General features: G+C 42.9%; 1 long non-coding RNA gene and 2 other non-coding genes across 3 annotated transcripts, besides 2 other annotated features; 2 read left to right on the top strand and 1 right to left on the bottom strand.

The window, feature by feature from the left end:
- Window positions 1-3,764: 3,764 nt before the first annotated feature.
- MIR206 (microRNA 206) lies at window positions 3,765-3,850 on the top strand. Its single transcript, NR_029713.1, has one exon. It is a non-coding gene; the product is annotated as a microRNA 206 (primary transcript).
- Window positions 3,851-6,229: 2,379 nt separating this feature from the next.
- On the bottom strand, window positions 6,230-10,439 carry LINCMD1 (long intergenic non-protein coding RNA, muscle differentiation 1). Its single transcript, NR_131248.1, has 3 exons — window positions 10,298-10,439; window positions 6,784-6,883; window positions 6,230-6,353 (listed from the first exon to the last, which is right to left on the bottom strand). It is a non-coding gene; the product is annotated as a long intergenic non-protein coding RNA, muscle differentiation 1 (long non-coding RNA).
- Window positions 8,339-8,457, top strand: MIR133B (microRNA 133b). Its single transcript, NR_029903.1, has one exon. It is a non-coding gene; the product is annotated as a microRNA 133b (primary transcript).
- Window positions 12,267-12,561: an enhancer, noted in NCBI's record as "tiled region #8754; K562 Activating non-DNase unmatched - State 21:Repr". NCBI's record gives its function as "activates a minimal TATA promoter and a strong SV40 promoter by Sharpr-MPRA in K562 cells {active_cell/tissue: K562}" and the evidence as "EXISTENCE:reporter gene assay evidence [ECO:0000049][PMID:27701403]".
- Window positions 15,807-15,856: an enhancer, noted in NCBI's record as "active region_24665". NCBI's record gives its function as "activates an Ori minimal core promoter by ATAC-STARR-seq in GM12878 lymphoblastoid cells {active_cell/tissue: GM12878}" and the evidence as "EXISTENCE:reporter gene assay evidence [ECO:0000049][PMID:35858748]".

The following is a 16,196-nucleotide window of genomic DNA, read 5'->3' on the forward strand; positions in this document are numbered from 1 at the left end:
ATTCTGATTACATTTTAGCAAGCTAGTATCAGTTGTTTAAAACTTCCAAGCTTCACCAGGGGCAGAGAAGGAATAGGGAGAGCTAAGATGCCTATATTAGAAATTCAGAGAGTCACCTACAGGTGATTGTTCTGCAGAGAATCCTGGTTTTCTATCCTCATCCAGCAAACAAACTAAGATCAGATCTATTATCAGAGGGAAAATCCCCTGTGGTCAGTAAGGGGACAGTCTGAGCATCTCATCACATATATCCTTTCATAAAACTCCTAAAAATGAGACTGGCATCCCAGACATTCGGAACCTGTAATGATTCTTGTCAGAAATGATACTGATTAATACCTTTTTTTAACAAATCTACTAAAATTGTACGACGAATATTTTTGATAATATTTTTGCTTTCTCAAGTATCTTTGAATCACCCCTTACATAAAAACAATTGTCATGTTAATGAAACCCTTTAAAGTAGATCAAATATAAGGATTTCCATGTAGTAAGTAGATTCCATTGCCAGATTAATACTAATTAATATATCAATTACACATTAATTAATAATATAATACATATAATTATTAATAAGATCAATATTATGTTGATTGTATATTATTAATAGATAATGTTAATAATAGTAATAGAGATTATTTATTAAACTTCAAATATTATGCTCATGGCACACTACATAAATCTAATTCCTCCCGTTGAGGAAGCACTGTTAGTCTCACTTTACAGATGAGGAAGCTGAGGCTGAAAGAGGTTAAATAGCTTGCTCAAGTCACAGATGTCCAAGCCATGCTGTTTCTCCCTGCACCCCTCATAGCCAATAACCTTGAAGATCACATTTGTCTTACTCAGACTTCTCTCGGTCTCAACCTGTCCTTGATTTTACCCAAATCCAATAGGCTTTCTAAGGACCATTAATGAGAAATAAGCATCCTTCTATCTCTTTAATGTGTTGAGTCATTTATGTTCAAATACTGTCCTGCTCAGCAAAAGAAACTGAAAAAGAACTGTGATTGCTGTTTATGCTTTTGAGGCTACTTTTTTACTGTTACTTAAGTCTGGAACGCTTTTAAATGGTACTTGCTTCTCAGGACAAGGGAAAGGACATGTTAGTAATTTAAGGGTTTTGAGCAGTTGTCTGATCATGAGGCAGGGCTGGGGTGTGGAGTAAATCTTGTTTTCAATAACCTGTTGAGTGACATTTTATATTGCCATTGGCCCATTCTCCTAAGAAACTCAAGATATTCACATGTGTTATCTCATTAATCTTCAACCCATTCTTTGGTGGGCAGCTGGGGTTACACAACTGCTATTTACAGATAAGTAGCATGGGATTTGGTATAGGAATGAAGACAGAAAGCTGGTAATTTGGCTAATATCACCCAGCACACAATTGGCCAAGTGACACACCACATCTCCTAATTCTTTCCATTAACAGTGCCTACTAAAGTCAAAAGATTTGGGTAGATAGGAAACTAGATAAATAATCTGGAAAAAAAACCCACATCCAATTGTCATATAGATGCCCTTGCCCTATGCAAAGCACAGAGAAACGTGTCTTTATGTTCTCCATCCCAGATTTTTTTACCTACTATTTTTGTCTTGTCTGAAATATGTTGGTTTTGCCGTAGTTTGTTTTTCCAGTCTACCTTTCTCTCCATTTTCTAACCTGTTCCATGACTTTTCTTTCTTGTGTCTTAAGCTAGATGTCCAGGAAAATGGGAAGAAGGTTTAAACAAGGCTTTCATCATAGATATTCCCATTTCAAACTCTCTCTCTCGACTTTCAAAATTCTCTATTCATTCTAAAGTGATAAGAATTTAGTTACCTGGACTCATTAATTGTCAAGTAATTGGTTATTAACAATTTGTTTTTCTCCTGCAGATTTTGCAGTGAACTTTTAAGTAATCTTTTCACCCTACAAGGTTGGGCTTGGCAAAGACAAAACAATTCACACCCAAATGTTGGGGACAGTCTAATGGGATAGTTTACACTGTCTTGGCTATCTCAAATCTTTTCCCTGGAAATCTTTTTCTTTTGTATTCCTACATAAATGTATGAAGCTCAGCCTGGCTCATGAATAGCAAGTCTCTTAAAGTTGGCTCTTTCTAGTTCTTTGAACATAAAACTTGATGGTTCCTCTCATCGGTGCAAACCCTCACTCCTCACAACTCAAATGCCAAACACTTTGGAGGATCTCCATCTGACAGATGTAACTAGTTAAAATGGACATTTATTCAGCTCTTAAGTTCCCTGGTTCTATGAAAGAAATGAGACATTTTTATTTTCTTAGAGGCACAGACACACCTCCTTCCTCCTTTGACCAAGCTGCCTCCCTGCCATCAGCCCCTGATAGTGTGTTTTTGGTTGCCCACTGCCCCCAAACTTAGAGAAGGAAGGGTAGCCCCAAACTCTCACTTCTATGAAGTTCATACTTGACTATGGGAGAAAACAGTGTTTTCAGAGCAGAAGCTTACATAGCCATTGGATGGAATTGGATGAGCCATTGGATGATTCCCAAGGTCAGCCCGAAAGATTTTGACTGGGATGCTAGAGACATTTTCCTATTTTCCTAAGAAACAGTATGGTTTCTAAGCCACCTCCATCAACAACACCCCAAGCGCAGAGTTACAGAAAGGATAAAGGTACACCAAGTCAAAAACCCATAGTGTTTCCTTTTCTTCCTTCTCAACATTTTTTTTACCTTCTAAGCCTCTCTCCATGGGTTGATCCAAAACTGTGCCTCCAATCTGATTAGTTTTTTTTAAATAATTACCATTTATAAATATGATAATTAATACATTTCTACGATCCTCATTTTCCTCATCTGTAAAATCAGATAAAATGGCTACATTTCATAGAGTAGGTAGGAGTCAAGGTGCTCACATACGCAAAACACTGTAATGATTCTGTTATAGAAAACATACTTATAAAAAGTTACCTCTTATTTTTTATTACTGTGATTAAATGTTTTTAACCACCCCAGCCAGTGCTGTGAGCCTCAAACCTTTTTTGGGGGCCAACTCTTCCTTTGGCATATGTTTCCCCATTTTCTGGCAGAGAATCAGATACCACAAAGTTCAAAACCCCATCTCCCTCCAGCCAGGGTGGCCATCCAGACCCTGAGTGGCTCAACAGCTGCCAATGTCCCTCATCCTTCTGAGGCTCAGGCCTCACAGATTGTGGGGCAGGTGATGGGCTAGGGGGAGCAGAAGCCCGACAAAAGGATCCTTCCCACAGTGAACAATGGTGCTTGGAATGCTGGATGGGCAGCTGCTGCCCATCAACAAGCACCCAAAACAGATAGACGTACAGTAGGAAGTACAGGAGGGCCGGTGTGTTTCTAAGCATGAGTGGCTCTCTGCGTGAATGTGGAAAATTTCTCTGTTGGATTCTCTCTTCTTTTTAATTTTCCCTTCACTGGATCCCAAACATTAAAAAAGAATCACATTCAAAATGCACAAAAACAGCAGCAGTGAATTAATTAGTAGTAATAACAAAGGACTGGATAGACTGTAGCTGCACAAGAATAAGCCAGGGAAACGTGGTGCTGCTTATCTGTGAACAAACAGTAGGAAGGATTTGGTCCCAAGCAGCACTGCCATTCCTCACAACAGATTTATTTCAGCATGATTTGGTCGGGCGGGGGGGATTTAGGATGAGTTGAGATCCCAGTGATCTTCTCGCTAAGAGTTTCCTGCCTGGGCAAGGAGGAAAGATGCTACAAGTGGCCCACTTCTGAGATGCGGGCTGCTTCTGGATGACACTGCTTCCCGAGGCCACATGCTTCTTTATATCCCCATATGGATTACTTTGCTATGGAATGTAAGGAAGTGTGTGGTTTCGGCAAGTGCCTCCTCGCTGGCCCCAGGGTACCACCCGGAGCACAGGTTTGGTGACCTTCTTCCTCATCAGGGCTTTGTGCCAGCAAATGACTCCCTCACCAAGGAAGCAAGAGCCTCTGAATCCCATCTGGGCTCTTCCTGAACACCCCTATCTCCCCCTCTTGAGGCGTCCTCGCTCAGCCCAAGGTTTCAGGCACACTGACTGCTGTCCCACAGTCCCCGCTGTGGCCAGCCTCCCAGACCTGGCTCCTCTGGCCAGCCTGGTGAGGAAAGGCCTTTCCCCCAAAGGTTTTTCACAGAATCAGCCCTCACCCTCCTAGTTCCTTCCTCTGGTCATATTACTTCTGAAATGAGAGGTTTCTATGAACCAAACTGAATCATAATCTCTTTCAAGCCATGTGTATTGCAAGCGTTTCTCAGGGCTTGCATTGTACTGAGGCAGGTGCTGTGAGTGAGGTTCAGGAAACCATAATAAGTAGTTCATCCGGGGTCACAGTCCCCTGACTCTGCTCTGCTGTCCTTTCCACTTCACACCACAACCCTGTCACAAATGGACTCTGCAAGGCTGTTTGAAGAAACACCTTGAGATGCTAAAATAGCGATTAACTCAACTAACAGGCAAGTTCCTTTCTCCTCTGTTTCCTAAACCCCTGTGTTCCCAGCTCTGACTCCAAAGGGCTTGAACCCACACCAAGAAAGTGCTGAATCTACAGAGGGAAGCCTTGAGCAGGAGGGGAGGCTGCAGTCACCCAAGGCTCATGCCATCACCCCACGAAGAGTTTCAGAACAAGGGAGGAAGATGAAGAGGCCTCCTTCCCTCACTTAAACCCCCATTCCAGGATGGCTCTTACATCCCACACCTCTGACTCCTTGTTTTTAGGGTGAGTGTGTGTGAGAAATTACAGCTGGGACCACACTACATTTACACCTTGAGTTCTTAAACAAAACCACAAAAGAAAACCCGAGAAGATTTGACCAAAATGTGCCAAGATGCACAAGACAGGACTGTCAAATGAAACTGAGCAGCAGCAGAACAAGGACATGGGAGAGGAGGAAAGGGAGGGAAGAAGGGAGGATGCACCATGTTTGCATAGGAGATGGCAGAGGAGTGCACAGCAGCTGGTGATGAGGGGCCCCCTGCCCAAGGAGGCGACAGCACCCAGAGCACTGGGCCAAGGCTCCCCTCTGCCCTAACTGGGCTCAGTAACACCTGCAACACAAGCCTCTCACCTCTTCCAGAAACCAGACAGTTATCTAATGGCCTTTAAGGGCATAAAACCTGTATTTTTGGGGGGGTGGAAGGAACTTGGAAGAACATGGTAAATTACTAGAGATGGGACAGCTACAGAACTGAGCACAGAAACTTCTCACTTTAGATTAGTGGCCCTTCAATTGGAGATGATGTCGTTCCCCAGGGGCATTTGGCAGTGTCTAGAGACATTCTCAATTGTCACAACTCGGGGGTTCCTGGCATCTAGGGATTGGGGACCAGGGATGCTGCTGAACATCCTACAATGCACAGAACGGCCACCCCAACCCTCCAACACGCAGCAAAGAAATATCCAGCCCAAAATGTCAACATGCTAAGGTTGAGAAACCTGGTTTTTTGATAGTGGTGCTTTGAATAAATGAAGTCTCTGACATCAGCATATTATGGCACATTATATTTTGCAATGAAAATTACTGTCCTTCATTCTAAAAACTTTGGTCTTCATGTCTGTAAAATAGGCGGATAGCTCAAGGTTGTCCTTCTTTCCAATGACGTTTTCCCTTTCCTAAATCATACCTGTTCTAATGATACACTTCCTTTTCCTATCCTGGAGTTTAATTTCATGTCCTCTGCTCAGAAACTGGGGGTATGTTGTATGGGTGGCTGTGCTGCTGGGGGTGGGGCAGGACGTGAGTAAAGAAGAGAAGAGAGAGATGGTGGGAGAAAGTGTCCAGAATTGAAGAAACTGCACAAAAAAGAGGTTTGTCATTCTGGCTGGCAAGCTGGACACATGTGCTTTTCAGTCCTGATTTCAGACCAATGGGCTGCCCTCTGCCCCCACAACTGCCTGCTTCCTTGCTCCCCAGGAGGAGCTAGAGAAGGAGCAGAGGTTAGCCAGAGGAAGAGCTGGCAGGCAGCAGCTTCAAGACAGCTATGTCACTGGCAGGAGGAGGCAGAAGGTAAGATGCCAGGACTACAGGGCCAGGAGAATGCACACCAAGGAGGAGAGGACAAGCCAAGACAGAAGCTTCAACGTAACCCTGCACAGACCACTCTAGAACCAAGCCATGTTCTGTGGTGCCCTGCTTTCTCACCACCACCATCATTGTGGGCTTTTACCTTGTTGCCATTTCTACAGTGCCTTATTGAGTGCTTTGATGTCTGGGATATCTTATTTATTCCATACAGAGCTCCCAAGCTGGAGTCCATCTTGCAGAAGTTGGCATCGCTGGTTAAACTCATTCTGTGTTTCCTGATCAGCAGTTTCAACAATTTCAATGATGAAGTGCAAACACTTGCAGCTGAGGAAGGGAAACATGTAAAGGACAGGCTGGAGTTGAGAGTGAACTTCTTGGCCTCCAAAGCAGTCAGGATTGTCTCTAGGACTTTCCCACACCCCTGACACTGTCCATGGTGCCCACTAGGGACACAGTGCACCTTTCCTTCCTTGTCATTAAGCCTCGCAACAAGCAGGCAGAGTAGATACAACCTTCTCCTGCTGTGCAGATGTAGAAACTCAGGTTAAAAGATGTTATGTAACTTCCTAGAAGCAAAAGAGCCAGGAAAGCATTGGTAGGATTTGAACCCAGATAAGTGTGACTCCAAGGCCACATGCATTCCACTTAGTTTTACTTGTCTTCATCAGGAAGAGAAAATAAAAGGGCTGCAATGCCTAGCCCCCAGGGAGAAGGACAATTTTCTAGCATCATTCAAACTATCCTTTCTGCCTACCTCTTTTCCCACCTGCTCCCATACATCGTGAAGACTGGCAGGCCACCTTTCTGGGGAGTTTCTTCTTCTTAGTCAGCTCTCTCCCACAGCTCACACCTCCCTAGAAACAGAGAGAAACCAGTGGGTACTCCTATTAGTTCAGTGGTTCTCAAACTTGAGCTGCATCGGAATCACCCAAAGGGCAGGTTATAGCACTAATTTCTGGGTCCTACTTCCAGATGTTTCGGGCTGGTAAGTGTTGCCATTCTTTTACAAGGCCAACATACAAATCCAGAGTTCTCCTTTAAAATCTGCAAGAATCAAAGATTTTTCCACCTCCTTTGAGAAACAGTTTAGTCAATGCTATCCCCTTGTTAAACCAAACAACCTCAATGTCTATGGCTGGGAGAATAAATAAATTATAGTATATTCACACAGTAGAAAACCATAAAGCAATGAAAATTAATAAACTGCTGCTACCACATCAATATGGATGAATCTTGCAAATATCATTTTAAATGAAATATCAAGTCACAAAACAATACCTATGATATGATGCCATTATATACTAAAATATGCATATATATTGTTTAGAAATATATGCATAAATGGTAAAAACTATAAAGAAAAATATCAAAATCATAAGAAAAAATAAATTCAGTGTGATTGTTACCTCCGGGGGGAAACATAAAGAAATAAATTGGAAAAAGCATTCAGTACAAAGAAAGCAATAGTATAAAACAGTAAAAAATAGTTCTTTTTAAAAGGTAGATCGTTGGGCCAGGCGTGATGGCTCACGGCTAAAATCCCAGCACTTTGAGAGGCTGAGATGGGTGGATCACCTGAGGTCAGGGGTTTGAGACCAGCCTGGCCAACATGGCAAAACCCCATTTCTACTCAAAATACAAAAATAGCGGGACATGGTGGCAGGTGTCTGTAATTCCAGCTACTCAGGAGTTTGAGGCAGGAGAATCACTTGAAACAGGAGGCAGAGGTTGCAGTGAGCTGAGATAGCGCCACTGCACTCCAGCCTGGGTGACAGAGTGAGACTCCATCTCAAAAAAGTAACAACAAAAAAAAGTAGATCGTTGTTCATGGGTATTGGTTTTACCATTATGTACCATCACTTATATATTATAAATATTCTTTTATAAATATATCATACTTGAATTAAAAACATAATTTAAAGAAATTAAAATGTTAAGCATTCAAAGAATATATGCCAAAATGTTACATTTCTTTCGGAAAATGGGAAGAGGAAGCATTATGGCATACTGTCATTTTTCATATTCTATAATTCTATAGCATATTTGATCTTCATGATGTTTCTATTTGAAAAAAGATTAAAGATTAAAGAAAAAATAAATTGAAGTCATGCAACATGAAATACAAATTATGTATGATTTGTATGTACAAATTGTATGAGATGTATGTACAAATCATGTAAGAGGACATTCTGGACAAGGCAAGCTCCTGGCATTTGACAGATGCTAATGCTGCTTCTTTTTGCATTACAGGCTTAGACAAATGATGCTTGAGACACACCAAGATACCTGCACACTAGAGGCTGCAGTCACCTCAGAAGAAAGATGCCCCCTGCTCTGGCTGGTCAAACGGAACCAAGTCCGTCTTCCTGAGAGGTTTGGTCCCCTTCAACCAGCTACAGCAGGGCTGGCAATGCCCAGTCCTTGGAGAAACAGAAGAGATTCAACTGCAACTGAAATTACCTACTAAAACTTTCCTTGAGAAAACAATTCTGGTTTTTTCACCATATTCTTATGCTCCCAGGAAGGAAGAGAAGAGGAGTCCTGGAGTCAAAAGTGAGCAAGATTTTAATGCTCAACACACACTGTTCTGTGCCTTTGCACTCACAGCTGCAGCCACTTACATGCTTTTGACAGACACACAGTCAAGAAAGAGTTTGAGGATGGAGTTTGTGCCAACCCTAAGCCAGCCAGGGGAAGAGCATGAGACATAGAAGACAGGGCTCCTGCTCACTAGGGGCTAACAGTCTAAGGAAAGAAATTAGACATGTATATATGGTGTGATCCAATTGAATTGCAAGTTATAGCATGGCTAGTTCCAAGGCATAATTCTTACCTATCCCACCAAATATGCCTAGCACATTATGTATCATCAAGTCTCTATTGATCTATTCAGCCCAAGATATCTATTCACTAAGCAATCATTTCTCAGTTCCCTGATCTGTAGAATAGGGATAATAGTACCTGTCACACCAGGCACAGTGGCTTATGCCTAAAATCTCAGCATTTGGGGTGGCTAAGACAGGGGATTGCTTGAGGCCAGGAGTTCCAGATCAGCCTGGTCAACATAGCAAGATGCTGTTTCTACCAAAAAAAAATTTTTTTTGTTTTAATTAGCTGAATGCGGTAGTGCACACCTATAGTCCTAGCTACTTGGGAGGCTGAGGCAGGAAGATCACTTAAGTCCAGGAGATGGAGGCTGTAATGAGCTAAGTTCTCATAATCGCTACCTTTTACTAAGGGAGAATTCTGACCTGTCCTTCCAGTTTATCTTTTAAGATTTGTATCTTTTATGGTGTGTGTCTGGAACTTAGACAGTAATAAGTAAATATTTGGGTTTAAAATTCTATAGACATGTGTGTTCACATGCTGTATTCTGACACAAATGGGGTAGCATAAGTGCCTAGAGCCCACCACAGTGACCTCAGAGGAGAACACAGAGCTTACTAGCACAAATCTTTGCATTCAGGAAGACCTGGGGTTGAATGCTGCCCCTCTAATTTATTAGCTGTGATATATCCTCTCCGCAGCTCAATTAACATTGCACAAGCCTTAGTTTACTCATCTGTAAAATGGGGACAATGATACCAACCTCAGTTACCGTAAGGCTTAAAACAGACAGTGTTAATAAAGAGCCAAATATAAGCCCTTAAGAAATAGTAGCTGTTGTTTTACTGCTGTAAATGGCAACAGCACAAGGACAATGCTGTGTCCACAGGCACTTGTATGTAGAAGGAAAGAGCCAAATTAAAAAAAAAATAGGAGAAGAACTCAAAAAATACATAAAGGCTCATTGCTCACTGTAGGGTTTTGTTTTTTGTTGTTGTTGTTTTGTTTTTGTTTTTGTTTATTTTTTGAGACAGGGTCTCACTCTGTTGCCCAGATAGGAGTGCAGTGGCACGATTTCAGCTCACTGCAACCTCCGCCTCCCAGGCTCAAGCGATTCTCCTGCCTCAGCCTCCCAAGCAGCTGAGATTACAGGCACGCACCACTACCACCCGACTAAGTTTTATATTTTTAGTAGAGACAGGGTTTCACCATGTTGGCCAGGCTGGTCTTGAACTCCTGACCTCAAGTGATCCGCCCGCCTTGGCCTCCCAAAGTGCTGGGATTACAAATGTGAGCCACCGTGCCCAGCCTATAGGGTATTTTTATATTCCAACTATTAATTCTACTAGCATGTAGCATACATGCATTCACCCTAGTACATATGACTAGCATATAATATGCTTTACTTTTAAAAAATGCTTTATACATGAGACTGATCTTACCATCTTCAATATCCTGTCTGGAAAGCCTTCATTTGTGAGTGCTGTTGAGATCACATGTCCTCCCAAGTAGGACATGGAGTGTGAAGGCCATTGAGTGGGTGTTCCAAAGGGCAGCACAGAATGGAGTTTAGTTGAAGGTGCTGGGGACACACTACCTGGGCTCAAGTCCCAGCTCCCCACTCTCCAGCTGTGCCACTTGAGCAAGTTGCTTGACCTCTCCAGGCCTGGGTTTCCTCATCTGTAAAGTAGGAATATTGATAATAATATCTACTTCATAGAGTTTCATGAGAATACATGTAAAGGCCTGAAACCAGTATTGGGTACATAATAATACATTCTTAAGAGTCTTTATTTCTGACAATGTACCTGAAATGTTCCTGAAATTAAGTTGGTGTTCAATAAAAACATGTTCACTGAAAGATCAGCTTCTTTGTTTATTTTAAGCACAAACTATGGGATCATGTAATTTTTGGTTCAACTATTTCTACTTATCTCTTTCAATGCAGCACACTGGTTCAAAGCAGTAGTAAGGTGTGGGGGAAGGATGGCAACAAGCTTCTCTCTGCTTCCCAGGTCTGTGATGAAATGGAACTTCCCTGCGAACTAGGGGTATGCCTCTGGGAGTAGAAGCAGGGTGATCTTGAAGCGCAGTCGCAGAGCTGTCACCCGGAAGTCACCTGGCAGAACAGAAAACAAACATGATGTGGCCAAATACCAGCTGTCCTTAACAGGAGGGATCTTTTCCATCTGGAAGGGCAGAGGTCATGTAGGTAAAGATTAGATAACAATGCCAGGTATAGGTAAAAGGAGTGTTAAAAAAGGGTCACTTTCATATTTGGGATATTATGGCTAAAATGCCTGATAAAACTGGACAAGACATATAAGGCTAAGACTAAATAATGTCTTCTCTCTGTTAGAAAGAAGCCAGCCAGGCCAGGCATGAGGGTTCTTGTCTATAAATCCCAGCACTTTGGGAGGCCAACGCTGGCGGATCTCTTGAGCTCAGGAGTTCAAGACCAGCCTGAGCAAAACTCCATCTCTACAAAAAATACCAAAAATTAGCTGGGCACAGGGATGGGGACGCTGAGGTGGGAGGATCGCTTGAGCCCAGGAGTTTGATTGAGGCTGCAGTGAGCTGCGATGGCACCACTGCACTCCAGCCTGGGTGACAGAGTGAGACCCTGTCTCAAAAACAAAAGAAAAAAAAAGAAGGAAAGAAGAGGGAGGGAGGTAGAGAGGGAGGGAAGGAGTGAGAGAGGGAGGGAAGGAAGGAAGGAAGTTAAGAAGGGAGAGAGGGAGGGAGGGAGAGAAAGAAGGTAAAGGAAAGGAAGGAAGGAGAGAGAAAGGAATAAAGAAAAAGAAAAGGAGAGGAGGGGAGGAGAGGGAAGGGGAGCAAGCTAGCACACTTCTGGCAAGGGTTGGAGAACATGAGTGAACATTGTCATCCAACTTTCTACCTATCCCCTTGCCCTCAAGGGTCTTTGCAGAACACATCTTTGAGGGCCACAGGATGGAAGGAGTTCTAGTCATAGCCTGCCTCCAAAGTCAAAATATCGTACTGTCCCCTCTTATTCACTCCTGGAGAATTCAACTTCCATTCACATTTCTGTTTGATTTTCCTTAAACCAGGAGGGGAGCAAATGTATTCCTGCTCCCACTCACCACTATAAAAAGACAGAACCTTTAAGAAAACATGTTTTCTGGTAAGTTTGAATGACCTTGATATCCATGTTCAAAGGTCCCACAAGCCCAAACTCTCCATTTCCGTAAGAAATCAAGAGGAATCAGAGAATGGGGACTGCTGCCCACGGGTTGCGGTTGCTCATCCTGCCACAGCCCCTCTTCAGGGCAGAAATCTAGGTTAGGCCACCCAGTGGGGTGTGTGGTTTTGTGATTGCTGCTGTGTCCCTTTATGTGTGTTCCTGTATCATCATCAGTCCTGTGCCAGTAAGTGGCAGCCCATGATGTCACACCGGTCAAACATGACGACTCTTGGTCACCCTCAGAATGGACCCCACCCCCACATCTGGTGAGTGTTGGGAGGAAGAAAGTGATAGCACAGGCGTGCTGAAGGAGCTCTTCCCCGGAAGGAGTTGACGGAAAATAGTGCGGGGCTATCTAACTGGCAGGAATCCAGACAAACAAGAAAATCCCATTAGTGCAGTCCATCAACGAGTTTCTTTCTGATGGTAATTCCCAGGGCTGGCAAGACTGTTAGAAAACAGCAGCTCATACATAGCTGGGAGTGAATATAGGTCTATACTCTTCAAAGCATCATTTATCAATACATAGGCATCAAGAAGGCTATTATCTTCTCTGCCCAGAATCTTCTCTTTCTCTGTTAACAGCTCAGTCTCCCTCCCTTGGCTATTCTTTTTTTTTTTTTTTTTTTTTTGAGATGGAGTCTTGCTCCATTGCCAGGCTGGAGCGCAGTGGTGCAATCTCAGTTCACTGCAACCTCTGCCTCCTGGGTTCAAGTGATTCTCCTGCCTCAGCCTCCCAAGTAGCTGGGACTACAAGCACCCACCACCACGCCTGGCTAATTTTTGTATTTTTAGTAGAGACGGGGTTTCACTATGTTGGCCAGGATTGTCTCAATCTCTTGACCTCATGATCCACCCGTCTTGCCCTCCCAAAGTCCTGGGATTACAGGCGTGAGCCACTGCACCCAGCCCCCTTGGCTATTCTTAAAATTACCTCTCCCTCCCTCCATTCACCATGCTTCCCCAAGAACCTTTACAACCATGCACCTTTCTCTAACTTAAGCCATCCTAGTGAGCCCTTTCATGGGAGTTTGGATTATTGGTCTATAAAAATTAAAGCTGTGTTTCCTTGGAAAGTTAAAATAGAAAGATGTGAAGCTTCAAAATTATTCCCAGTATTTCTCAGTAGTGCTTAGTAAGAGATAAGAATGAACCAATTACTTAAAAAGAAACCAAAGAGAGAACAGATACAGAGCCCCAGAGGTATTTCAGTCCTGGACGTGGTTGTTCCCAAGGCCCAGTTCCTATATTCTGTATTCCTTTTTACCTAAGGCACTTAACACTGAAATTACATCATTTGCAAACAAAAGTGCCCTAACTCATATAGCATCAAATATATACCCTTTGACACTCTGGAGACATATTGTTAACTCACAAAGGGAAACTAACACAATCCATTTCTGTTTTTAAGAAAAATACATGTATGTATATGTTAAGAAAAATATGGAAGAATCTAGACCAAAGGTCCAAGAGTAAATATTTCTAGACAATGGATTTTTGGAGGACGGCCTCTCTGAATTTTCTAAATTTTTCCCAGCTAGCATGTATTACTTGTAACAAAAAGTAAGCCACAGAGATTTTTTATTTTTATGTCTTTTTATTTTTCCCAAAGCTATACATGTACAAGGTTTAAATTTTTAAAGCTTATAATGTAAAATAGTAATCCCCTGCCCCACTCCCAATTTCCAACTGTCAGGGCTATCCAAATTTAAAACAATAAAAATATGTAAGGAGAGAACACAGGTCACTATGGCAGATGAAGTTTGGCAGCCTGCTGTGAATCAGATCTCACCATCCTTGCTGTACATCTGGCCATTCCTTCACCTAATGGCTCTTTCAAAAACAAGGCTGAGTTTTACCCTAACTCACCATTCACTAAATCACCATTCAGTGTCCCCCTAAATCCCTACAGACAGGGAGAGCTGGGGGAAGGGTCGGTGGGGTCACCTTAGACACTATGTCATCCAAGACCCCGTGTGGTCCCTGCTCTGACCATCCTGTATGCCAAGGAAACATGCTCCATGCACATTCTTGACAGAACCTTGTCCTGAACACGCTCCTTTATGCCCCACATAAACCCCCCCCTACTGCTGTGTAAACCCATTTCCTCTTGAATTTTCCTCTGGGGAAACTAAGAATAGCTGCATTTTCATCCACCCCAAAATAATTTTCAGTTCTTTCTTCATAGAAGGCCAATAAGTGGGTCTCAGGTACTTAGAGTTTTCAACCAAAATATCAGGAATTATTGTTCTCTTAATAGAAAAAAGTATTATAAACAGGAATTACACTTATGAAACCACACTTCCAAGATACAGAAGCCGATGTACTCACAGCCAAATTTCCTGACATTCCACAGCTTGACTCACCGGACCACACCCAGGTATTAGGTTGGTGCAAAAGTAATTGCATTGTTGCAGTTACAATTACTTTTGCACCAACCTAATAGTCTCTTCACAAAAAATGTAAATTATTTTATAGATAGAAACAGAACCAATATATATGAATATATAAGTACATATTCACATATATGTGCATACACACACACACACACACACACACACACACACACACGGAGAGACAGAGAAACAGAAACAGATTTATTGCAGGGAATTGGCTCATGTGACTACGGAAGCTGACAAGTCCCAAAATCTGCAGGAAGCTGAAGACCCAGGAGATCCAATGATGTAATTCCAGCCCAACGTTAGTCAAGCAGGACGAATTTTCTCTTACTCAGGGGAGCATCAACATTTTTTACCTGTTTGGGCCTTAATTTTACTGGATGAGGCCCACCCACATTATGAGGGCAATCTGCATTACTCAGTCCACCAATTTAAACATTCATCTCATCCCTCTCAGAAACACCCAGATTAACACTTGACCAAACATCGGTGCACTCTGTAGCCAGTCACGTTGACACATTAACCATCACAACAGGCTTGTCTTCCAGTTAGTCCAAAAGACAGAATCGTTTCTGTTTTCTCATAACTCCAAGAGGGGGAAAAAAAGTCTATGTGAGAGAATAAAAAACTTCATGTATCTTTAATGTTGCTATTTAAAATTTCCCTCTCTTTGCTCATATTAGCCCGAGTATCTAAAATTTTATTGTGGCCATTTTGACACAGCTGTTTGGACCCCAGTGATTTGGACATTTACACGCATTTCATGTCTTTTTAAAAACAAACCACTAACTTTTCAACTTTTCCTTATTATCAAGTTACATATATGGCCACATTACCTCTCTCTGAGCCTCAATGCACCGCAGATCTCACTCCATCCCCAGACTTCCTCCAATCCCAAATTTTTACCTGCCTCTCTGGGGTTGGTTGCAGAGGAGGCATGCAGTGAAGGTAGTGTGGGCAGATTACCTGAGCTTGCTTTTTATAAAAAAAGCTAAAGACCCATGCCTCCTTTTTCAGTTCTCATTGAAATAGACCAGTAGCAACATTACAATGGCTTTTAAAAATATCCCTTCAGTCATCACACACAAAACCGCAGGTACTCAGGAAGTGCCTGGAGGAACAGGTTTCAGTGGTGTTTGACAGCCCTTAGAGGGCAATCAAATTGTGACCAGTGGCATCCTCTAAGTAATGTGCACATTTCCTGCCTTTGTGGGCTTTGTGGTGAAGGACCATTGGTCAGAGAGATTCCACCCAGTGGCCTAAGCTCACAACAATGCCCTTGTAACTGCTTGACCCTGCTTGGCTCAGCTGTTTCGCATATGTGAAAGCCCTCATGGCCTCTGTCTCCTCTTCCCACTTCCCCCAGCCCCCGTCATTCCACATCCTCTTCCAGAACCAGCAACTGTGGGCACCTTGGAGAACTGGAAAAATGCCACCCCAATAAAACAACCACCTGTTGACCAGCTTTTCCTGGGCTTCAACCTCCCTAACCAAGGACACTCAGTAAAACGTGTTGGCCCGAGTGACCCACTGTTCTACCTGACTTACCCAAACTGGAATGTCCCACAGCAGCAAGGGGCACCCACAAAAATAAAGCACTTTCATTTACAATGGAGAAAAGCTCTCTTCCCTGCCTGTGGCAGTGGACAGCACTCACCCTGCCTGCAAACACACACACACACACACACACACACACACACGTGTAGGGTAAAGAAAGAAAATCCAGAGAAGGAAAGA

Source organism: Homo sapiens, chromosome 6 (genome assembly GCF_000001405.40).
Source record: "Homo sapiens chromosome 6, GRCh38.p14 Primary Assembly".
NCBI lineage: Eukaryota > Metazoa > Chordata > Mammalia > Primates > Hominidae > Homo > Homo sapiens.